Source organism: Homo sapiens, chromosome 9 (genome assembly GCF_000001405.40).
Source record: "Homo sapiens chromosome 9, GRCh38.p14 Primary Assembly".
Taxonomy (NCBI): Eukaryota; Metazoa; Chordata; class Mammalia; order Primates; family Hominidae; genus Homo; species Homo sapiens.
This window is the reverse complement of record NC_000009.12, coordinates 36056727-36082488: the sequence shown is the minus strand read 5'-3', so window position 1 is coordinate 36082488 and position 25762 is coordinate 36056727. Positions and strand designations below refer to the sequence as shown.

Sequence of the window (25762 nt, the reverse complement as noted above, 5' to 3'; positions counted from 1 at the left end):
GGGAGGAAGAGGTTAAGAGAAAGCAGGGGGGTCGGGTGCTGTGGCTCACATCTATAATCCCAGTACTTTGGAAGTCCAGGAGTTTGAGACCAGCCTGGGCAAAATGTTGAAACCCCATCTATACCTAAAATACAAAAATTAGCTGGGTGCAGTGGCATGTGCCTGTGGTCCCAACTACTAGGGAGGTTGAGGTAGAAGGATGGTTTGAGCCCAGGAGGCGGAGGTTGCAGTAAGCCAAGATCTCGCCACCACACTCTAGCCTCAGCAACACAGCCAAATCTTGTCTCAAAAAGAAAAAAGGAGAGAGAGAGAGAGAGAGAGAGAGAGAGAGAGAGAAAGCAGGGAGGAAATTCTTGATAATTATTAGGGATAGATATGGAGGAACCAGAATCAGGTTTCTGGTGAATTCCAAAGACCCATGAGCAGGGATTCTGGTGACTTCCAGAAATAATGATAATGATAATAATAAAGTCATAACCAAAGAAACTGAACTAGGACTGAACTGATATAGGACAAGTCTCAGTTTCCCAGACCAGGAAACTATTCCATACCTACTGTACCGCCTCTTTTAAACTTGCAACTACTACCAAACTTATTGTGTTTATTGCCAAAGAGTTCATTTTCTTCACAAAGAACAAATTTTTTTTTTTTTTTTTGAGACACAGTCTCACTCTGTCCCCTGGCTGGAGTGCAGTGGCGCGATCTTGGCTTACTGCAACCTCTGCCTCCTGGGTTCAAGCGATTCTCCTGCCTCAGCCTCTCTAGTAGCTGGGATTACAGGCACGTGCCACCATGCCCAGCTAATTTTTGTATTTTTAGTAGAGATGGGTTTTCACCATATTGGCCAGGCTGGTCTCAAACTCCTGACCTCAAGTGATCCACCTGTCTCTGCCTCGCAAAGTGCTGGGGTTACAGGCATGAGCCACAGCGCCTGGCCAAAGAACAATGATTAATGGCTGCATTTATCACTGTAAACCTCAGTGAGGATACATTGGGGGTGGTGGTGGGGAATGGTGAGGACATATAAGAACAGACACATAGGAACAGGACAAGATGCCTATCTTCTGATTCCTCCATTCAGCTGGCTTTTTCACCAGTGTGGGAGGACATAAGATTACATGCCTGAGACTACCTGGAAAATCTTGAACTAAGCCTCAGTTAGAAAGGATAGAAGATAAATTACAGACAGCAAATGTTTCTTATTATCCTTCAATATACTTTCCTGCTGAGCTAAAGAACTCTTTGTTCCTTACATGTGTTTTCCCATGTCTGTCTGCTCTCACTGTTCCCTTCACCTGTAAGCCCTTCCTCCAATCTCCATTTCCTTCATTCTCCACTGTTCACATCTTACCCATCCTTCATGCCCGGGATCAGCTACCAACTCCATGAAGCCACCTCTAAGTACCCCTGCAGAATATGATCCCTTCTTTCTCTGAACTCCTGGAGCACTTTATCCAGTGACACTATCTCATATCCTACCATATCCCAGCATTCTTTGTGTACAGGTCGTGTCCTCCACAGATGTGTGTCTGCCCCACACTGACCAAGTACTCAATCAACGTCTGTTGAATGAACTGAGACGTAGCACTCGGCAAGTGCTACATTATATAGCATGGGTGTACTTAACTTCTGAAAATGGGCCTATTTATTGGGTTGTGATCATCCTCTAGCACACTGAGCTTTAGTATCTGCATTGTAGATCTACAGTTAAGACATGGGAATTGTTATAATACATGAATGACCTAAATACACCATGGGAAAGAGCCTATCGGAATCCTGCTGTGCACATTGCTTCAGATGGCTAATTATATCTTTGGACTGTTTGTACAACCATTGACAAATATACTTACTTTCATTTCTGCTAATGCAACTGAAAAGAGCATTCTGTAAATTGAAGAAAAACAAATAAACAGAAATTAACAACCAGAGAGAATTTGTAATTTAATTCCACTTTATGGTTACATGGAAATCATGATATTAAAACTATTTAATTCTTCCCTAAATCCAAGACTGAAAACACAGAAGTTATGAAATGATATTCTGGTAAAAAGGGAAACCATCTTCCAACATATATCAGGATCAAGATGACTACTTGGAGCCATAAGCTGACCAGTTATAGCAAACCAAGTTTATGTAAAGCTGTAAGTGTGTGGGAGGGGCTACAATGTATTAATCTTAATTATTCCTTGCAGGATATAAAAACTTTCCAGAAAATAATCTAATAAATGACATCTAGGGAAATATATATTTCATGTAACCACTGCATTTTAGATTTGAAAGGATTTTAGACATTATCTCTACTTGTTCTCAAACATGGCTGTACACTGGAATCATCTGAGTTTCCTAGACCTTACCCTAGACTACAGATTCAGAATCTAGGGGTGAGGCACAGAAATCTAAATTTTAAACAAGACTTGAAATACAGTTTTTTTATAGCCATCCTGGGACCAGAGTTTGGGAATCTATCATTTTACAGATGAAGAAACTGTTTCCTCAGCAGGGTAAAAGAGACCCGCCCCAGGTAATAGAAAAAGTCAAAAGCGAGTTTGAGACTATAATTAGTGTCTCTAGAGTGCTTAGATTATTGTTCAGAAAACACCACCCTGTATTAAAGTCAATGTAAAGAAAATAAAACCCAAAACAAGACAAAAATGAAAAACTTATACAAAGCCATTTGGATATTTAGGGCTTGTCAGCTATGAATAATAATCAATCACAATGGGAGGATAATTACTTCCTAAAAGAAATAATATGGGCATAAATTACAGGCAGAAGGAAATCAAGCACACCCTTATTGTTGAAACGAGACGATTTTGGCTTTTAATTGCAGCCATATTGCAAGCTGGCTAGGTGATGGGGATTTGTTAAAGGATCAGCTATTGGCATTTAAAACCTAGCTTCAAAGATCCCTCTATGTAGCTGTGTGAAGCTGTATTCATTCATTTTCTCTGCTAAATAATATTCCATTGTAGGAATATGCCACACTTGATTTAACAATTTAAAGCAAAATAAAACAGAAAACCCTGGGCCTCATAGATAAGGGTTCCTCAATTCACCCAGTATGAATTCTTTCTGCTAGAGACTCCATCAAGCAATATAACAGGAGTGAAAAAGTAAATATTCTTAGTGTTCATTAACAATGATCTTGTTTATATCTCTCTTCATTCATGTTTCCTTCTTTTAGTGTGACTTTTCAGTTATGCATTATAGATAACTCTCTATTTAAATGGATTCACTGGACTCAGGAACACTTTTAAAATGATCTAAATCAATATTAAAAAGTAGTCAGCTACCAGCTGGGCGAGGTGGCTCACACCTGTAATCCCAGCACTTTGGGAGGCCGAGGTGGGAGGATCACCTGAGGTCGGGAGTTCGAGACCAGCCTGAAAAACATGGAGAAACCCTGTCTCTACTGAAAATACAAAATTAGCCGGGCGTGGTGGTGCATGCCTGTAATCCTAGCTACTCAGGAGGCTGAGGCAAGAGAATCACTTGAACCTGGGAGGCGGAGGTTGCAGTGAGCCGAGATCATGCCACTACACTCCAGCCTGGGAAACAAGAGCGAAACTCTGTCTCAAAATAAATAAATAAATAAACAAATAAACAAACAAACAAATAATAAAATAAAATAAAATAAAGGTAGTCGGCTACCAACTTTCTAGCCCTCTTTGACTGGATGAATGCAATTCTCATTGCTCTTTTCCTTCTAATAAGATCTTTGTTCCCTTTGGTTTGGCTTTTTTTGACCTTGTACCTGAATAAATATGTTTGATAACTTGGTGGCTATCTTGGGTTGCATGGCCTGATTTTCTAGTATTTGATATTTTTCTAGTTATTTTTGAACTTTCCACAGAAGTGGTTTTCAACTAGGGGTGATTTTGCTTCCCATGGTACATTTGGCAGCGCCTGGAGACATTTTTGGTTATCACAACTGAGGGGTGGGGAGTGCTACTGGCATCTGGTGAGTAGAGGCCAGGCACACTGCTAAGCATCCTACACTGCACAGGACAGTCTCCCTCCCGCAAAAGATTATCCAGACCAAAATGCCAGTGGTGCCAAGACTGATAAACTCTGCTCTAGAGACTTATACATTTGTTCAACCTGGATGTTTAAAAAACTGACTTTACAAATAAATGTCACTGTGGTTCAGCCTGTGGATCACTTAGCTTCAGGGAGAGGTACTACTAAAGGAGATAAAACCTGCGAAATGTGAGAAATCATCTAGTCCAACTTCCTTATTTAATAGAAGTCAGAGGCCAAGGCCTAGAAAGGGGAAATACTTATGGACAATAGCTTTTACTCACAACAGGGGCTGGCAAACTATGGCACACAAGCCAAATCTTGCCTGCCACCTGTTTTTGGAAATAAAGTTTTTATTGGAAGACAGACATGCCCATTCAGTTACATACTTTTAAAATTTTAATTATTTTTTTCATTTACCTACTTTTTTAAATTAAAAAATTTTTTTTAAGACACAGGGTTTTGCTATGTTGCCCAGGTTGGCCTCCACTCTGCTGCCTCCCAAGTACCTGCGACTATGGGTGCATGCCGGCTTATTTAGATATTTTATATGGCTACCTCACGCTAAGCACACTTCTATGGCAAAGTTGAATAAACAGAGAGTGAATGATCTCCAAGCCTAAAATATTTGCTGTCTGGCCCCTTACAGAAAAAGTCTCCCAATACCTGAAGAAAAAGGAAAACGGCACAGTTGCTTCCCTTGATGTCACATCCAGAGTTCAGAGATGTTCTTCAAGCATCTCTTATTTCTCTTGATGTTCATTAATAGACCTTTTGTGCCTAAGTTTACCTGAATTTGTTGAACTAATCTTTTCTATTTTCACATGGCAGCATCATGTGAAAATTACCATTAACCACTAACACTTTAGTGTTAATACCATCTTGCCTCTTTACCCATTTTAAGGTTCAAAAGAATGTTCCTTCATTCCAGTATACCAGCATTTGATGAATAAATTCTGTTACACCTATCATGATTTAATAGACTGATCATATCTCCCTCTTTGATGAATGACTCCTAAATTTACTATATGTAACTCTATCTTTTTACCACTTTAATACTGCTGATTAGTCTGAGAGGGCTTAGGACATACACATAATGAGTTATAGGATTAACTTAATAGTTTCTTCATTTCTTACGTCAGCCTGTCTTGAAGTCTTAGCTAGTCAATTTTTAAGTCTTTCAAAAGTCTGCCATCTGACTTTTGAAAGGTAACTTTCTGACTTTTGGAGGTAACTGAGGGTTCGTATTCACTCCTATGGAGCCTCTTTTGACCTGCTTACCAATACCACACCCAATGTGCCCCCATATAACTGCTCCCTCTCCCTCCCCTACTCATGTTAGTCAAGAATAGGTCAAAACTATAGGGGTGCTGAGGTGAGGATCTACCATAACCTCAAAGATGCAAAGAACATGTCAGCATACTGGAGTTGACAGGGTCTCAAGAGAACTTCAAATCCAAAAGCTGTCACTATCTAGTTGGAGAGCCAGATATGTATAAGCAAGCAAAGGGCAGAGCCAGGGCTGGAACCCAGACTGCCCTGCCAGTGCTCTTCCATGACACTGCACTGAGAATAGTCTGGGTTGTTTTTCTCAATGCAGCCAATGCAAGGTTGAATGTTTGTTCACAGAGTAATCTATTTAACCAGTCCCCTATTTTTAAAATCAGCTCCTTAAATTGTAACCAAAAAAGGTCACCATTTTCTTGAGGTTAATATTATTTTCCTTAAAAATATTTTGATCCTAAAAAAATTATTTTTGATCCTAAAATCTTTCCTCTGGTAGCTGCTCTCAATAACTAGTTCCCTGCCCTACTCTCGCGATTAAATTCCTGAATATTTGACAATTAGTACTCCCAAGCTGGTAGATGTCAGCTCCAATATATTACTAGGTGGGGGTGTGTTAGGATGGATTCAGGAAGAGGGAATTCCAGGTAGTACAAGCCCTTTGATCCACTGTTGGGAGCATATGAACTGTGGGCAAACCTGGCACAAAAACAGAGTAAATCAAAGTTGAGGGAACCCTATGTGATCCTTCATGCCACACTGGTTTTCCTTTTGGTGGGGAAGACCCTTTGGGTGCACCTGGGAAGTAGACTCTGCTGGTCCAACCTCTAGCCCAGAAGTTCGCTCTGCAATTTATTTTCTGCCACTTCAGTGACCCTTTTCTATTGATTTTTAAAATAGGAAACTGGTTAAATAGATTAATCTATGAACAAACATTCAACCTTGCTTTGGGTGCATTCAGAAGAGAGAAATCCAAATAGTCCATTGCAATACAGTGAGACCAGACTATTCTCACAACGCAGTGTCATGGAAGAGCACTGGTAGGGCAGTCCGGGTTCTAGCCCTGGCTCTGCCCTTTGCTTGCTACGTATATCTGGCTGTCCAATTTGATTTGGCTTTTGGATTTGAAAAAAATGGTTCATTCCTCCATTTGTCCACTTGTTTCAATCCTTTCTCTGTCCACTGCCCTTTTACTACTGACTACTCCAGCTCTCTCTCATTTTCATCAATGATAAAGATGATGACAACAAAACACTGATCATATGAATCTTGTAAAAAAAAATTACAGGTTTGAATTTTGGATGATTTAGTTACTTTTGGACAAAGACCCAAAAGAGCACATTTTATTAACTGTTATGTTAATGTTTTATATGCCCAGTACTTTCTACTTAACTATGCTATTACTTAAAAGTAAAGGGGCTACTTTGTTTCTAAGGCCTCAATAAATAAAAATCTGTTTCCTTTTCACAGATGGGTTGAAATTTCTTCCAGTTTAAAGTTTCACATTTCATAGAAGAAATCCAGCTTATGAAATGCTAAGTAGGAGAGGTTAAATATAACTGTTCTTTAAAAACATAAATGTTTTTAAACCTCTACAAGGTGTTTTTTCCTTGTGGATACCATGAATGTCAAAAAGTATAGATGACTAGAATATGTAAGGAGTTTAATGTCATGACTTGGAAATATCACTAAACAAGTGATTATTAAATTTCTTCAGCCTTCCAAATAATGTGTCATTTCAACAGATATGCAAATAAAAATGAACACTCAAAACAGAAATGAGCTTTATAGGTCTAGACTGCTCAGAAAAATTTGCTCATTATCACCACAGGGCACCCAACCAGCTGGAAGCAAATTCACTGGCAAGTAACATCTGCAGAGAAACACAAGGTCTAGAAGACAGCCTAGCACAGAGTATGTGCTTGTGGTGAACTGACTACAGTAATGGCCCCAATTTTTCACATTTCCTTATATCTATTTATTGTACAGTAACTCTGGCCTTAGCCATGTGACTTGCCTTGCTTTGGCCTAGTGGACACTAGCAAGCTTGGAGTAAGCAGTTGCCCGAACTACACTTGCATGTTTCCACTTTCTCTCTTGGACTCCTGCCACCACCACGTGAACATGCCTGAGCTAGTCTGCTAAAGGGAGGGGAAAACATGGAGAAGATCTGAGCTGACTTAGCCAAGGGCTTCCTAAAGCAGGCAGCCCCAGGCTGACCTGCCATCTGATTGTAGACAGATGAGTGTGCCCAGCTGGAATCAGCTAAGCCTGGCCAGAGCAGAACTGCCTAGTAAGCCCTTAGATTTGTGAGAAATAATAAATTGTTACTGTTTTAAGCTATGGAGTTTTGGGATGGTTTACTATACAACATTATTGGGATAATAGATAGTACTCAGAATGAAAACATTCTCCACAGTACAGTAGAAAATGAGCACTTTCTCCATGCATTCCAAGAGTGTAAGACATTTACACAGAGTTTCCACGTAAAGCTGATATACTGTGTTACAAAGAACCTTGAATAATTCTGTTCTCCAGAGTGGGAAAAAGTCTATAAAATTTTTCTATCTATAAAAGTACTGACTGTAGCACTTTGTTACAGGCAACAGCTTTCTGCTCATCCTTTAAGTCTTACCTGCTCTGTGAAAGACTTCCCCATTTCCCTAGGCAGGGTTTTTTCCTCCAGGCTCCAATACATTCTAGCAATGTACTTGTCTCACTGTATTGTAATGGACTATTTGGATTTCTCTCTTCCCATGGACTATGAGCTTCTTGCAGACTAAATCCTTTCATTTTTGTACCCTGAGAACAATGCCTGATACATATTAAATATATTGGTTCAGTGTGTATCAGTTCAATGAATGTTAAGTGAATGAATGACAGAGACAAAGATAATTATATGAACTCTGTCCCAGGAACTCAGGGATTAGTTTAAAAAGAGACATGTAAACATAGTTATGCTATAGAGCGACAAATGCTATAATAAAGCATGCAAAGGGCTTGGAAGTAGTGATCAATTTTATGTGTGTGGAGAGAAGATGAATGGGCAGGAAAGGCTTTAAAGTGGTACCATTTAAACCAGGATTTAAGGCAAAGGTTACTCTAGTTCAATAGAGGTAATGATGTTCTGGAACCAGCTTTTTTTGTGGGGGGTGGTTGTGGAGAAAATCTGGATTTGCAGTATTTGCTGATGTTCACGCTGCAAATACCTCCACCCATGGCTGATTTTAAGTTACAAGCTGGCTTGCAAAATCCCTGAATATTTAACAAGCAGTACTCCCTAGCTGGTAGGGAGCTGGTATTGCCAGCTCCAATATACTATACTTTTTGTTCCAAGATTCAGAAGAAGGAATTCCAGGTGGAACAAACAATTTGTACAACTACAACTAACAAATAAAACAACAGGGTCAATCTGGGAAACTATAAGTAGCATGCTGCTTAAATGTAACAGAGAGAAGAACCAGGAGCTAGACTGAGAAAAGCTTGGGATACTGGGCTGAGGAGCATGAGCTGTGTTCTACAGGGAAGCAACTGAAGGGTTTAAGGAAGGTAGTGACATGGATCAAATTTGGTCTTTAAAGAGATTAATCTAGAAGTGGATATAGTAGATAAGAGGAGAAATTAGACACAGGAAAACTAGTTTGGCAGCTATTATAGGTATCCAGAAAAGTGGCAGAAAGACCTAAGCTAAGGCAATACCTGAGGATCTGAAAGGGAGACTGATTTAAGGTACATTTAGAAGGCAACTCTTTAGGCTTGAGAGACAGTAATTTGCAGGAGGTGATGAGAAAGAGGAAAGAGTAGACAATACCTCTCAGGCATTTAAGTTGATGTGCCTGGAAGGATCATATTGGTACAACCAAACAAGAAATGCAAGAAAAATCATAAGTTTTGTTTTGGGATGGATGTGTGTGTGTGTGTGTGTGTGTGTGTGTGTGTGTGTCTGTGTGTGTCTGTGTGTGTCTGTGTGTTGCTGTTTAGGGGTGGAAGGGAGGGAAGGGGAGGCAGAAAAGGTAGAGAAAGTAATAATCAATTTGGTTGATTTAAAATCAATCAATTTTGGTTTGATTGTTTGTTGTTCCAAGGGAACATCAAAAGTACATGTATCCAATAGTGTTCAGGAGCTCAAAAAAAAAAAGGTTAGCAATGAAGATTCTGAAGTTGTCAGCATATAAGAACAATTAAATCTATGGGAGATGAGATTGCTTAAGGGGAAAACCTTGGCCACTTAAGATGAGACCAGGTCGCAATCTAATCTGATTTGATCAAATTCCCTTTTGGAATCATCTCGTTCAGGTGACTTCTGAGAAGAATGAACTGGAAAAGGAAATACACTAGCAGCAAGGAGACTAAATAGGAGTTACTCCCTTCCCCCAACTACAAAACAAATACGACAAACCAAAACAACATACAAAGTTTAATACTATCTTAAGCCAGTACTGCAGGACCTAATAGGTTTCGCTCTTTTTGGAGCTCATCAGCTGCAGGTAACGGCTCAAATCTACTGTGATACAGTATACCGGTACAGCATTTTACCATTTATAAAGCCTCTCATTCATAGTCTTCTATTTACTATATCCTGGCAATTCTTGAAGTTGCCTCAGCATAAACTAAAAGATGCTTTACTTTTAGGTCCTGAGGGCTTTGCTGGGGCAAAGTATCACACGATTCCTTTTGTTAAAATCCCTAAAAGCTGACTGGGCAAGGAACAAAACTGTCCATAGCCTAGGCTGTGATCTGCCACAACTAGATGGTCTCCTCTATTCTTAGAACCACTGCAGTACAGATCCAATCACACTGAAGCTTAGGAGGCTTCTAGCTGTCCAGAGAATCCTGTTGGTCCTGATATCCCTGCTCCTCTTATCTCTAAATTGGGCTAATTTTTCATCCCTTTTCCTTTATGCTTCTGGTAGTAAATCTAGAACCAAAGTTAATTTGAAAGAAAAAGAAACAAAATAAAATTAATAGATACACAGAAATCTTTAAGCAGAACATTTTATTGTGACATTTCCTGAGGAAACAGTATACAGTCTGGGTAGACATACATAAATATACACCAAACACTGGCATCCAGGGGCAGAACAAAGGGTATAGTAAACTACCATTTGTGGTAAAGGAGGGTAGAGGAGGACTATACATATATATATTTACTTTTATATGCAGAAAATATCTCAAATATCTCTAGTAACTTTAGGAACTGGATGGCTGTGGGAAACATAATTCATTGTATACCATTTTGAATTTTGAACAATGTGAAAATCCCAAAATTAAAATTTAACACATACCTGCACCATTCTATACATTTAGCTGTGTACTGATAGGTGGGACTAACAGAAGACAGAATCCTCAACAGTCTTAATTTTAGCATTCTCACAGAACCAGAGCCCCATGGCAGAACAATATTTTAGTTGTATTGGCAACTGTTTAGTTTAAAACTTAACTGCCTTAAGACTAAAAAAAAGTTAGTCCTCACAAAAATACCCCCTACTAACTTTCCTTCATAGTTTCTCACCTTCCTTAATGATATAACATCAAAAAAGTGTATTGAAGAAAGCTAGCAAAGAAAGGAGAGACATGAAAATGACATTTCTGAAAATATAAAGAAAAGCTTAGAGAAGAATCTGTGAAAGAAGGAAGAAACAAGTAAAAAAATATAAAACGTATGATGGCAAATTTGTAGCATTGTACTTCAGTGGCTCACACAGCAAATGTAAAGGCATTTATATTTATGGCCATTATGTTAAGAGAATGGCAGGTAAGGTCTGCCATTAAAAGTATAAAATGGATTTACAAACTTCAAACTAAAATTTATCTCATCACTTTATAGCCATTGCCAGTCTCTGGGAATTCATCAGCCTCATATTACCTTAATGAAGCTTATTGTGACATTCAAGAAAGAAAATTAACCATCAACAACCAAAAAATTTTTTAAATCATAATTTTGGTGGCTAGAAGAAAATGTTCACAGCCAACCTGTGAACGAAGACTATGCAAAAAGAATCTACACTGTATTTCACACCCCCTGGAAAACATGAACTCATTTTTCCTTTAGTTCTAATCAGCCAATGTGCACAAGTATGGCTATTCCTATGGTTTACAGCCAGCATCTGTTCTGACTGTTGGTGCCTATGTAACTACAGCTGCTGAATACTTTGAATATCATCTCTGGTTGTAGCTTCACAACACATTCATGAACCCCATGTGGCCTAACCAATACTTTTAGGTAGGCCAAAGGACAAAGCCTGTGAAAAGGCAGAGAACCTAGAACTGAGCAAGTCCATGATACTTGAACATGCCCATAAAGGAGTTATCAAGCTAATGGTTGATTTGGATAGCTCCTACAGGCCAGGGTCTGGTGACCCCACAATCAAAACAAGTGTGATTCTCAAAAGAAGTACTCTTAAGTAGTGAAGGATATATTATTTCTTAGGTATTCATCAGAATAAGAGAGCTACAGAGTTGGAAGAGAGATCATCAAATCTCCTGTCTGTTGCAAAAATCCCCTTCACATGATGAATCCAGTAAGTCTTTACTTGAACATTTCCAGTGATAGGAAGTTATCTGTTTTTGGAATATCTCATTCCATTTTGATCAATTTCAGATCAGTATCTGGCTCCTTCTTTTCTAGTTCCCTAAAGAAACTCAGCTCTCTACTCTCTATTTTTTTTTTTTCAAAAGAATGGATTATTTTAGATTCTATTAGATTCTAAAAGATTCTATTCTCTTTCAAAACCCAGCTCTCTATTCTTTTTACACTTTCTCTTCTATGGAGCTTTCATTCACTCCAAGGTTCAAGGGTTACTTCAAGGTTGACTGTGGGCATGATAATTCTCCTCATCTTTAGTCTGGATTCCTAATCACCTCTGAGATATGGGTCTTTTAGTGTAAAGACCCTAACACATCATATGCTTCAATTTCTTCAAATTCCTTTCCCAACATAAATGCTACTGTTACTATGTTTTAATTATTTTTTTAAAATCCAGTAATACATTACTATTGTTTTAAAAATCTGTGTCCTAATTTACCCACTTTCTATTTTCACATTCTCTTTTGCATCTCAAATAATTTTCTGTCTGAAGTAGATATTTTAGAACTTCCTTTACAGAGAACTTCTAGAAAGGCTCCACTAATGCAATTTTGTTTTAGCTGTTTAGAACTAGCTTAATTTTGCCTTTCTTGAAATACCTTTTTGCTGGATATAGAATGCTAGATTGATAGTTACTTTCTTTCGGAACCATTTAGGAATCATTCTACTGTCTTCTGGCTTCCTCTGTTGCTACTGGGAAATCAGTCGTTGGTCTTCTTTGAAGGCAATGCCTTTTTTTCTGACTACTTTTAAGATCTTTGGCTATGATGTCTGTCTATAATATGTGGATTTTTTTCCCTTTGATCCTGCTGGGTATTTGTAGGGCTTCTTTAAACACTGCTCCTGCCCATCCTATTTATTTTTCTTCTAGTACTCCAGTTAGAGAGGATTTTCTCACTCTATCCTTCCTGTGTCCTAAACTATTTTTCAGCCCCATGCCCCTCTGTGTTTCTTTTCCATATAATTTCTTTAGTTCTATCTTCCAATTTACTTTCTTTGCTGTACCTAAACTATTATAACACCCATCCATTGTGTTTGTATTTCAATTATACTGTTCTGGAAATTCTCTTTGATTCTTTTTAAAGTATGCTTGCTCTTCTTTTTTTTTTTTTTTTTTTGCAACCTCCACCTCCAGGTTCAAGTGATTCTCCTACTTCAGCCTCCCGAGTAGCTGGGATTTACAGGTGTGCACCACCACACCCAGCTAATTTTTGTATTTTTAGTAGAGACAGGGTTTCATCATGTTAGCCAAGCTGGTCTCAAACTCCTGACGTCAGGTGATCCACCCGCCTCAGCCTCCCGAAGTGCTGGGATTACAGGTGTGAGCCACCGCACCCGGCCTGCTCTTCATATTTGTAAGCCTATTTTATTTCTTAAACATATTAAACATTTTAGTCTGCATCTGATCATTTCTATATCTGAAGTATCTTTAGGTCTGATTCTATTCACCATTGTTCCTGTTGGCTTTTATTTAACAAATCATGTTTTCTGGTGAGTTCTGTGACTTTTTTTTATTATGAACTGCTTATTTTTCCTTAGGACTTTATCCGTGGAAATCCCAAGAGGTCTGAAATACAAGATCAATTCCTCCAGAGAGGATCTGTGTTACCTTTTCTCAAGCATCTGAGGGCCACTACCATTTCAGAACCACTTGAAATAAATTCTCAGCTTGAGGTTTTACAAACACTCACTTGATACAAATTTGGGCTGCAAACTCATGGGAAGACCAGCTTAGGGTTATGAATTTTCAATGGAATAAGACTAATGTTGGAGAGAAGCAGTTTTCCTTGCAGATCCCCCTGGAAAGGGAGATGAGCATATTTCCTGGTCACCCTAATACTAAGTGTATAGTCCCTTTGGAATCCCAAATTTATTGGTGGGAAGGGAAGGGGATTTCACTTAGATTTTCCACCTTCAATCAGAACCCAGGATTTGTCTCCTGACTTCTGAGCCTCGTGAAGCTACAAAGCTATAAAAATTGATTCAGCAAATGCCCTCAAAGCTAATGCCTTCTTTACTGTTCTTACTTCTCTGGATTCCTGCCTTCATTTAGTTTTTGGCTTGAGCATTCCGTATTTTCTTTCCAGCAAATTCATCTAGCATTTTAAGTTATTTTCACCTGGAGGACTGGTCCAGGTAGCAAGCCTGCCCTATTGCCAGAAAGAGAAGTTTTAACTAGTACCTTTAAGTATAGAAGAATAGTAAATGAATGCCAGGAAACTAGGCTTAAAAGATTAGATTATCTCCCTGAATACCATCTATATTCAATCCATCATAACGAATCTTGCTGATGGATTCTGCCTTTGAATCTCTGATTTATTCTTGAATATTTGACTCTATTACTATTATCCTAGTCTGGGATTTATTAGCTAAGCTATTACCTCTTTTTAGCTAAGCTAGAGGGGTTTGTGGGATCTAAAACTTAGCCTGCACAGGATTATGAATTTAAGTTTCTAAAATATTGGTTTTGTTATTTGTTATATATTGGTCTCCTTTTACAGAATCTTCATCATCACCCTCTCATTAATAATGAGTTGAGCCTCAAAATGCTATCTTTTTAGGATTTGGTCCCACTTTACCTATCTGAGCATAGACTTGCAGCCCAAAATAGGTCTGTCTTCTCTTTTCCTCCTGCATAAGCCATGTGCATTTTTGATAACATACCTTTGATCCACAGTCTTAGGTCTTTAGGTCTTTACCCAAATTATACCAATCCTTTCAGGCCTCTCTCATTTGCAACGTTTTTCCTGATAACTCCAAACATTCTTGCTCTGCTTTCTTATTTCCCTGAGCCCTTATGTGTGCAGTATATATTTTAATTAGCCTGACTCAATTAAATATAATTCTTTAGTATTTGGAGTTATGCTAAAAGTTGCTTAATCAGAATTCTAAACTAAGTCTGCTTCCAGTTAATGCTGTTTCTAATATATAAAACTCTAAGTATTCAACAGGTACTTGTTAATTTGCATAAGAAAAAAACCAGACTCTATAAAATCTGATGTAACAATGCTTTATATTAAACTGGTTTATCTTAGGTTGGCTAGAACAAGACAAAATCTTAAATGGCATTAAAATTTTAAAACTTTAAGTAAATTTCTTAGCAAATCCCTTCAAAAGGAACTCTACAACAGCTTACCAAAAAAGAAAAACATTAGCTCCTCCAAATGTAATTACTCATTCTCTGAAACTCAAATCAAACTATACATAAAACTACTCTCCAGGGTAAATGCTACCCTTAAAATTGCAAGCCTATAGAAATGGCTCATACATCTACAAGTTCATCCCAGGGATCATTCCAGTATTAAGGAAAAGATACTAAAAGCCTGGTTCATAAATTATTCTGATGTTGATAAACAACCAGTCCACTTAAAATAGGCTATATTACACCAAATTTACCCAATTCACTTTATAACAAATAGCTTTTATGTCTAGACTAGACTTCAACAATCATGACAGTGACTGTTATGTGAGGTTTATAATGCAGAACCCTTCCTGCATTAAAGTACTCTTATCTCTATTTTCGTTTCTAAATAACATGTAAGAAATCAAATTGAGTCTTATATTGAAGAATTTGTGGGATCAACTTTTAATATAAAAACAAAAGGATCCTTTTGCCATACAGATTTTTGGAAAATGGTTGCTTAATTCTAGGCCAAATTAGGGAAGATAGACTGGGAAAAGTAAACTATTCTTAGTATTTCTATCATAGGACAGTTTGTCTCTCTTACCTTTCCTGTCTTGTCCTTCATCAACACATACTGGCAGACTTCCTAGGGCAATGCAGAAATCCAGACAAGAGAAGGAAGCACACTAAAATAACGGAGGACAGGCTATGGAAGATGGACAGTGTCAGACATCATGTAGGAGAAAAGAAGGAATTATCACAGTTAGCCACTTTGTTCAAGAGAAACTAAAACTGGTTATTTCAAAGATAGAGAGATAAGAAAATAAAGATCTTTTACTTCTCTGTAGCAGGGCTCCTTTCAATAAGAACGGAGGAGAGCTATAATTTGGAAATTTGTCTTCAGAGGAATAGATACAACTTAGCAAACAGTACAAAGGAACAAAAGATAAATAAGACTGTCAAGTTTAAAAATAAGAGATACAGGCTTTGAGAAAAGAAAAAAAATAAAAACTATAACCTAGAAGTAGTTAAGAGAGTTATTCTACCTTCTCCAAGAAAACACAGCAATAGGAATCCCAATGTTTGTATATAAAAATGGTGCATGAGATATATGCACTTAAGTATCCTTAATTACATAGCCTTACACTACAAAAACTGTAATATTGTCACATTTAAGAACAGAGTTCTAGAAAATGAACAAAGTAGCCCCAATGAGGAGGTTTTTTCATATCAGGCACAATCTTCTGCACATATTTGTATGGTGTAAAATACTTCCGCTATACCCCTGCCTTAATATCTACCCCATCTAGATACCAGTGTTAGAAATCCCACTATTGAGATGAGAGTCCTTCAGATTTAATATAGCTTTTGTAACTTAGTATTTTTTCCCCCAAATGCAAGATTCTAGGAAAGTCTGAGCTATTCACACTAGCCCTGTGATTTTCTTTCTTTTATTACTTTTCTTTATGATTAGAGGTAGTTTATAGAAATGAATACCACCTGGATGGGTCAAGAGATAGGAGATGAGACAAAAGAGAACATGAAACACGAGAAAAACTATTTCACAACCTTGGGTACAACTAGTTGCTTTGTTATAAAAATATTATAGGTTAAATCCTTTGTATGTGAGATTTAGGCATTTCTTTAAAATTAATACTTCATTTCAACAAAAATCAACTAAAATCATAACATTTCCGAACACAGTAAATGACATTTTTGTCAATGCAAAATTTTCTGTAAGGTAAAAGGGAAGTTGTATAAAAATAAATTCATTTTAAAAATTTAAGTAATTTTGTTAATTCTGATAACATCTGAATAGGCTATCCACATTTGTTAAATAAAATGCATACCTCATATTCTTTTCTGCAAACTTTGGAAATATCATTCTTTGAAGATGCCTAAAAACCAACAAATTTCTCCATTAATTTATTATACATGCTATTCAGCACAGGGCAAAAAGAACATAAATTAGCATTTGTTAATTACTGATATAGTATCCTTTATTTCATCAAGGAAAACCTTATGTTCAAATATTTTAAATTTCCTAAAATACAACAAACAAATTTCATGCAATTTCTTTAAAACAAACATAATCTGTAGGGCTACTCAATATTCTAGAGCTTTGCTCTAACTTTTATGGCTTTAATTTCACATAACAACACAGTCCTTTTGTTATTTCAGAAACTAGATGTCTTTGAAGGAAATTGTAAATCAGAGGATTTTTTTTTTTTTTTTTTTTTTTTTTTAGCTGAATTCCACTCTGTAGCAAATTTTCTTGTGAAGCTCTGCCAGGGCATTTACATTTTGCTTTTTCTTTAACTCTTCACATTCTAAACTTTCATTCTGAACTTGCTGAGTATATAACGGAGGGGGCAACTAAATAGGGAAGAGGTACTATGCCAGGCATTTAACAAGTTATTTTTGTGTAAGTCTCTTAACAAGTTTATAAAGAAGATACTAACCCCTCTACAGATGAGGAAACTGGTGCTTAGAGAAGTAGCAAGCTATTTGCCATATTTAAGTATATACTTTCTATATAAAAGAAGCCAAAAAAAATCTGCTGAGGGGTGGCTGTTTTTCCACATGAGTCAGTTTCCATTCCAGAGCTGTGAGCTCTGGTTCCTTGCTCCATTCTTCCTGTTCTATCACCTAGGCCAGTGCAATTTAGAACAGGCCAGCTGATGAGGACAGGGAGAACAAGAAGAAGAATGGGCCAGCAACTGTTTTACAACTCACTAAATTCATTATACTTCAAATCCTCTGCAACTCAGCTTCACCTCAATGCCTGGAGGACAGCAGCAGACAGCTAGGTCATGTGCTGCCCAGACTGTTGCTCAGGCTATAGGATAGTCGTCTCTGTGAAAGTGAAGGTGATACCATATCTCATATACTCTTATCTGAGATAAGTCCCTAGAAGAAGAAAATAAGAGAAGGCTTTCCAACTGTGGTTTCAGGTCCATCTAACCACTTCTAGTTTCCCAGTTAAGTCTATTTCTGCCACTTGCAGTAGAGGAACCAAGAGGCTAGTTTTTCCTCTCTGAGAAACCACTACTAAAACATACAAAGTGAGGACAAACTCAGGCACCTAAGCTGAATTGGGGCAGAACTATATCAAATCAAAGATAAGTAATAACTCAGTGTATGAGTCAGATTCATCTTAGGAGCAGAGAAGGGATATAAGAACACACTCAGGGTAAAGCCATGATGAAACAGAGAAAAGGAGATGAAAAAATGAGCCAACTGTGTCAAATGTTCTCATCCAAGCATAGCCTACATTTACCCAGCCATCATCAGCATTGATTCAGCATGATTGCAGGCAAAGTATGGATGACCTAAATTCCTATAATATTCTTTTTTGCATGGCAGAGACAAGGAATGATAAGAAAGAATAAAAGCAGGCTGAGGCCATATGCAGCAGCCATAAATAAAAAAACAGCAAGTCTAAAAGGAAATGGTCTATACAAAAAATGCTAAATTTGCAGTTTTTACGGGTTACCTCTGCAAAGCTAGGAGGTGGGCAAGGCCCAAGACATGTGCACAGCTAAAACCAAACTGCACTCCATGATGTTTGAGAGCCTGACTACCCAGTGTTACCTGCTTGCATGCCTGTCGACACTCCAAGGCAATAGCCAGTTCACAGCAGCCTAAGCCAACCCAGCCATCAGACTTCTTAAACACACCTTAAAAACAAAATGTTTAAATGTTTTGGTCATAAGTAGCAATAAAAAGAGATAGCATGCCAGATGTTTCAAGGCTACTACTAAAAGTCAAAGCAGCTGTCCATAAGAAAACTGGTTCAGACAGCAGGGCCTCAAAATTATTAAGGACCTCCCTTTACCCTTACTTCCACTGCTATCAGTCTCTTTCAAAGTCCCTCACAGCATAATTATCAGGTCTTTTGTTTTTTCTCTTTTCCCTCCCACCCTAAATGCTCTTTAAGTCATTCTCACTCTTGGGTAGGTAACATCTTTACCAGAGGACGTACAAGGGAAGGAAAGCAAGGAAGAGAGCTTTCTTACTGTTAGACTGTTAATCAGAGGCAAAGATTTTAATTTAACATAAGCAGACTAACAAGAAAGGGCACAAGTATTACTGTATTCAAAACAGTAAATACCTAGAATAGCATAAAATTCATGATCCTGTTTAAAAACTGATACTTAGTAAATAGGGGCAATTTTTGTGAGTCAGGTATATCTGGCTTTGATGGGCACATTTAATCATGGGGCAAAATGACCATGTATTATTCTGGTTCAATTGATGTTCAGCAGTGACTCTTCCAACCAAATGATTGTGAAACTGAAAGATGATAAAATTATAAAAAGTGTTCTAATTTTTTTTTTGAGATGGAGTCTTGCTCTGTTGCCCAGGCTGGAGTGCAGTGGCGCGATCTTGGCTCACTGCAACCTCCGCCTCCCAGGTCCAAGCAATTCTCCTGCCTCAGCCTCCTGAGTAGCTGGGACTACAGGCGTCTGCCACCATGCCCGGCTAATTTTTGTATTTTTAGTAGAGATGGGATTTCACCATGTTGACCAGGCTGGTCTTGAACTCCTGACCTCAGGTAATGTGCTTGCCTTGACCTCCCAAACTGCTGGGATTACAGGTGTAAGCGACCACGCCCGGGCTTCCAATTTGCTTTTAAACTCCTTTTGCAATCATAAATGTCAGTGAATGAATCCTAAGGCAAAAGTAGGAGATAGGGCCAGGCTCAGTGGCTCCCACCTGTAATCCCAGCACTTTGGGAGGCCAAAGCGGGCAGATCACTTGAGGTCATGAGATCAAGACCAGTCTGGCCAACATGGTGAACCCCCATCTCTACTAAAAATTCAAAAATTAGCTGGGCATGGTGGCACACACCTGTAGTCCAAACTACTCGGGAGGGTGAGGTGGGAGAACTGCTTGAACCCAGGAGGTGGAGGCTGCAGTGGGCCGAGACTGCACCACTGCACTCCAGCCTGGGCAACAGCAAGACTCTGTCTCAAAAAAACAAAAAACCAAAACAACAACAACAACAAAAGACTGGGTGTGGTGGCTTACACCTGTAATCCCAGCACTTTGTGAGGCCGAGGTGGGTGGATCACTTGAAGTCAGGAGTTCAAGATCAGGCTGACCAACATAGTGAAACCTCGTCTCCACTAAAAATACAAAATTAGCCAGGTGTGGTGGTGCATGCCTGTAATCCCAGCTACTTGGAAGGCTGAGGCAGGAGAATTGCTTGAAACTGGGAAGCAGAGGTTGCAGTGAGCTGAGATTGTGCCATTGCACTCCAGCCTGGGCAAGAAGAGTGAAACTCCATCTCAAAAAAAAAAAAAAAAAAGTAGGAGATGCAAGAAATAATTATGAAAAGAGAAAAGCCTTATGCTTGCAGGAATGCTGCAAATTCCTCCTTATCTCCTTTAAAATTGCCTTATGCTGCTTCTATGTAAAACATAAATTTGAGTATCTATATCTGAAGTAAGTTGGATTATTATTTATATTTGAAAAAAAATGTCAGGGATTCAAGGCAGTAAGTAACATAGTTCCCCAAATGAAACTAGGACTTCACACAACAAATAGAAGCATTCTGCTAAAAAGTAAAACAAGGCAAATAAATGGTTCACAGATAGACAAAGCTCTCAAAATATAATAAACTACCCCAATTATAAAAATTGACCAAAAATACTGCATATTATAAGCTTATCACTATGTGTCTTAAGGGTACAAAGGGTAACAAATTCACATCTAGCCTCATTGCCTAGTATAGTTTCTTCTAAATCTTTGCTGCTTGCTATTCAGGTTCCTCACATGTTGGAAAGAATTTTAAATGGAATCAACATAGGTCATAAACTCTGTGACTTGTTATATCATAATGAAGTATGCTGCTGTTTCCAGGTATCCAGTGGCCTCTTAGAACATACTAAATTATCCAAAAAGCATTTATATTTACTAAGGTCCTACTATGTACAAGGCACTCTGTTAGGTGTTATGTGGGCTATGAAATTATGGAATAAATAAAATATATGATTTATCCTATTTGGGAGATTACAGTTTGTTAGCAACTGTGTGTGTGTGTGTGTGTGTGTGTGTGTGTGTGTGTGTGTGTGTAGAAAATTACAGGATACTAAGGATGCTGGGTACAAGCATAACTAGGAGACAGGCAAGGAGGTGGGCAATTTCAGAAAGGCAACCAGTTTGAAATACAAACTTTAAACAGTGCGATAGCCTCTAGAATTCAGAGATACATAAGGTATACTCTTTTTTTTTTAAGAAATTAGCTCTATCCAGGGCTGGCAAATAGGCTGTAATCCTGGGAGATCATGAGTGTCAGGCTAGAGAGTTTGGGTTTTATTCTGATGGGAGTGAATATCCCCTGATAAATTATTTTTGAAGAGGATAGGAAAGAAAGATATAATGTGTTGAAACATCAGTTATAAGGTTATTATAATATTCTATCCCACGAGTGTAAGAATAAAGACTTGAACTAGAAATAGACAGGACAGGTGTAATTTTGCAAGGGGAGAGTCAATGGAACTAGAAAGAACAAGGAGTAAAATATAACTTGGGGGTTTCCAGTCTAGTATCATTCACAAGAGGTGCAGTTATGAGTTTGATTTTGGATTTGTGCTTCAGATGGCACCTGGATGCAGAGATCCAGGTAGAGATGTCTACAAAGATATCTAGAAGTTACAAACAATGATTTAGATTTGAGAGTCACCTTCTCAGAGCTGATTAGTTAACAGTTCTGGGAAGGAATGAGATTACTAAGGTGAATGTGAAGACAGAAGGGAAGAAGACCACACACAGAAATAACCATAGTCCTTACGGCTCCATCTGCAAAAAAAAAAGGCAAGGCAGAATAGGTTCTGAGGCCAAGGTGGAGTCATAAGGAGGTAGTAATCAATAATATCAAGTGTTTCAAGAAAGTCAAAGAGAGTAGTACTGAGAAAGAGCCCGAAGATCTAGGAACCAAGAGATCCTGGTAATCTTTCAAAGACTAGTTTCAGTAGAATGGCAGAAGTGGAGACAAGAGAACAAAGTTAAGGACTGAGTGAATGAGAATAAATTATGTATTTGAAAATTTGGGCTGGACATGGTGGGTCATGCCTGTAATCTCAGCATTTTGGGAGGCCAAGGCAGGATGATCACTTGAGGCCAGGAGTTCAAGACCAGCCTGGGCAACACAGTAAGACTGTGTCTTAGAAAAAAAAAATTTAGGTGTTGAAGGGAAGGAGAGGATAGAAACTCCAGAGTATAAATTAGGTTCCAGGACAATGACACCAATTTTACATTCACACAGTAAGTTTTTAAAATTAAGTGCTAAATGTTACACTTTTATTGCTTACCTGGCAAAGATGAATTCATACAATTCCAAATTTCAACCTAAAAGTGTACCCAACAAAAGGCTTTTATGTAGATAACCAGTTCCTAAATATGACAATTAATTTCTACAGAAATTATGAACAGCTAATTTGATTATGGCTATGTCTACACAGTCAATGTTCTAGAACTACAGGCACATCAATCAGCTATTCGGGGGGAACAAAGCTGAGATACAGAAATATTCCTTGTTCTTTTCCCATCTGAGAGCATTAACGATGAGTCTAGTTACTCAGGATACTTACTGGAATCACTGTTTCCAAGCCTATAGACAAAACTGAAGACTAAAGGGAATGTGTCAGTCAGAACTATTTAATCATCAACTTATTTTCCCCTTCACATAATATAAGCCACCATATCTAAAGAGGCTCTTGCAAACAAACTCACACTTTCTTGGTCTGGCACATGAGCATCCCAAACACTGAGGACAGCCCAAGTATTAGAGACCTTTAAAAGGTCTTAAAGTTACATGATTCAGATAGGTAAGCAATATATCTACAGTATGTCAGAAAATTGGAAGATAATAAGTCATATATTTTCCCTTATCCCAAATTCAATTTTCCAAAATCAAAATAAACAGATTTAGTTATTATAGTTTTCATAAAATTAGTCAAACTATAATAATAAATAAAATTCTAAGTTCCAGATAATTTTTTTTTTTTTTTTGAGACGGAGTCTTACTCTGCTGCCCAGACTGGAGTGCAGTGATGCTATCTCAGCTCACTGCAACCTCCGCCTCCTGGGTTCAAGCAATTCTCCTGCCTCAGCCTCTGGAGTAGCTGGGACTACAGGCGTGTGCCACCATGTCTGGCTAATTTTTGTATTTTTAGTAGAGACGGGTTTCACTATGCTGGCCAGGCTGGTCTCGAAATCCTGACCTCAGGTAATCCACCCGCCTCAGACTCCCAAAGTGCTGGGATTACAGGCATCAGCCACCACGCCCGACCCCAGATAAAATACTATAATGAAATTTAAAGATAGGAACACATTTATATTTAAGATTGTTTTTAGATTTATATCATAGGATAATAAAAGAAGAAAAACAATATTCTATCTAGCAATTTATATGAAGATTTTTTTTAAGTATTTAAGTTAAACTTAACATTTTATTTTGACCACAAATTCCAATCACATTTAAAAATTTGCTAACTCTGAAAGTAATTCATTGGATAGTTTCATTTAGACAGAAGCTTCTACAGTTAAGTTACAATAAGACTTACCATTGTCTCTGGGCAATAATCTGGGGCTCGCTGCAACAGATGTTTTAGTCGGGATTCACTTTTTGAGGAGAAAATCTATTTGACAAAAAAAAAAAAGTTTTTGTGGCATTTTTCTATAAGAAATAAGAAGAGGTAAAACTTATTATCCTCTAGATTTATCAGTTGTCTAGAATATTTTCCAACTTCCTTTTTATTTTATTTATTTATTTTTAAATTTTTATTTATTTATTTATTTATTTATTAATTATTATTATACTTTAAGTTTTAGGGTACATGTGCACAATGTGCAGGTTAGTTACATATGTATACATGTGCCATGCTGGTGCGCTGCACCCACTAACTCGTCATCTAGCATTAGGTATATCTCCCAGTGCTATCCCTCCCCCCTCCCCCCACCCCACAACAGTCCCCAGAGTGTGATGTTCCCCTTCCTGTGTCCATGTGTTCTCATTGTTCAATTCCCACCTATGAGTGAGAATATGCGGTGTTTGGTTTTTTGTTCTTGCGATAGTTTACTGAGAATGATGATTTCCAATTTCATCCATGTCCCTACAAAGGACATGAACTCATCATTTTTTATGGCTGCATAGTATTCCATGGTGTATATGTGCCACATTTTCTTAATCCAGTCTGTCATTGTTGGACATCTGGGTTGGTTCCAAGTCTTTGCTATTGTGAATAATGCCGCAAAAAACATAGTGTGCATGTATCTTTATAGCAGCATGATTTATAGTCCTTTGGGTATATACCCAGTAATGGGATGGCTGGGTCAAATGGTATTTCTAGTTCTAGATCCCTGAGGAATCGCCACACTGACTTCCACAATGGTTGAACTAGTTTACAGTCCCACCAACAGTGTAAAAGTGTTCCTATTTCTCCACATCCTCTCCAGCACCTGTTGTTTCCTGACTTTTTAATGATTGCCATTCTAACTGGTGTGAAATGGTATCTCATTGTGGTTTTGATTTGCATTTCTCTGATGGCCAGTGATGGTGAGCATTTTTTCATGTGTTTTTTGGCTGCATAAATGTCTTCTTTTGAGAAGTGTCTGTTCATGTTCTTTTATTTTATTTATTTTTTTAAGACAGAGTCCCATTCTATCACCCAGGCTGGGGTGTAGTGGTGTGATCTCAGCTCACTGTAACCTCCACTTCCCAGGCTGAAGCAATTCTCCAGCCTCAGCATCCCAAGTAGCTGGGACCTTGGGCATGAGCCACAAATGCCAGGCTAATTTCTGTATTTTTTTGTAGAGACAGGGTTTCACCATGTTGCCATGGCTGGTCTTGAACTCCTAAGCTCAAAGCGATCCGCCCGCCTCAGCCTCCCAAAGTGCTGGGACCACACGCATGAGCCTCCGTGCCTGGCTCCTTTTATAAGTGGAAAACCTTCAGAATGATCTAAGTTAAGCTGAGGTAACATTTCTTAAAAAGCATTGATTAGTTTCGCAAATAAGCAAGAAAAGTCCAAATACAGCAAGTCTAGACCCTTTTCTATTGACCAAAAAAAGTGGAGAAACCCAGGCTACCAACCTGTTTAGAGGCTGGGGGTTAGAGAGCGAGAGAAGGAAGAAAAAAAAGATAAGTTTATTCTAAACTGTTCTTAATTACTTTTAGTCAACTGGTAACAATGAAAAATAGACTGTCATCAAACCCGTGATACTGGTGAAGATCAAATTCATAAACAGCATTATGGCACATAAATTCTCCATAAAATGCTGTAAGATAGAAACAAAGCTTTTTTTTTTTTTTTTAATTGATGCTGATGAGCTGACAAAGGTTCACTCACCAAGCCAAATGGCTCACTTCCAAATAGGACGTTATGCAATTACAATTTGGTGTTTCAGTAAATAATAAATCATTACACATATCAGACAGACCTTCATGATTACCTGCAAATAGCTGAGACGGTAAAATCCATGAATGCTATGGACAGTGAAAAAGGATTTATCTCCAGTTAGCTTATTTATTAGCCATTTTCCTCCAAAACTACCAACTACAATTAAGAAGTGAAAAGAGATAGAATATCACTATTTTGCAACGCCTAGTGAATTAATGCATTTAGACAATTATCACAATGACTGTTAACATCACAAAAAGAGACATTTTTGGGGGAAGACTTAAACAAAACTAAGTCTCTGGATCTGGCTAAGGTAGCTGTTAGCCATGTGTGGGTATT

At 38.1% G+C, this 25762-nt stretch overlaps 1 protein-coding gene across 6 annotated transcripts in view, besides 1 other annotated feature; it reads right to left on the bottom strand.

Moving 5' to 3' along the window:
* RECK (reversion inducing cysteine rich protein with kazal motifs) overlaps window positions 1–25762 on the bottom strand; it is an 87543-nt gene that overhangs the window by 41967 nt on the left and 19814 nt on the right. For 4 of the 6 annotated variants that reach the window (NM_021111.3, NM_001316348.2, NM_001316346.2 and 1 more), the window contains exons 3-7: window positions 23588–23662; window positions 22334–22370; window positions 18609–18694; window positions 16865–16912; window positions 1851–1884 (exon numbers count right to left, since the gene is read on the bottom strand). In NM_021111.3, the coding sequence (NP_066934.1) occupies window positions 1851–1884; window positions 16865–16912; window positions 18609–18694; window positions 22334–22370; window positions 23588–23662 (280 nt within the window). Of the gene's footprint in view, window positions 1–1850; window positions 1885–15618; window positions 15721–16864; window positions 16913–18608; window positions 18695–22333; window positions 22371–23587; window positions 23663–25475; window positions 25510–25762 lie in introns of all 6 variants that reach the window. The other 2 variants (NM_001316345.2, XM_017015207.2) reach the window with 2 other exon arrangements.
* Window positions 17809–17858: a silencer, noted in NCBI's record as "silent region_19887". NCBI's record gives its function as "represses an Ori minimal core promoter by ATAC-STARR-seq in GM12878 lymphoblastoid cells {active_cell/tissue: GM12878}" and the evidence as "EXISTENCE:reporter gene assay evidence [ECO:0000049][PMID:35858748]".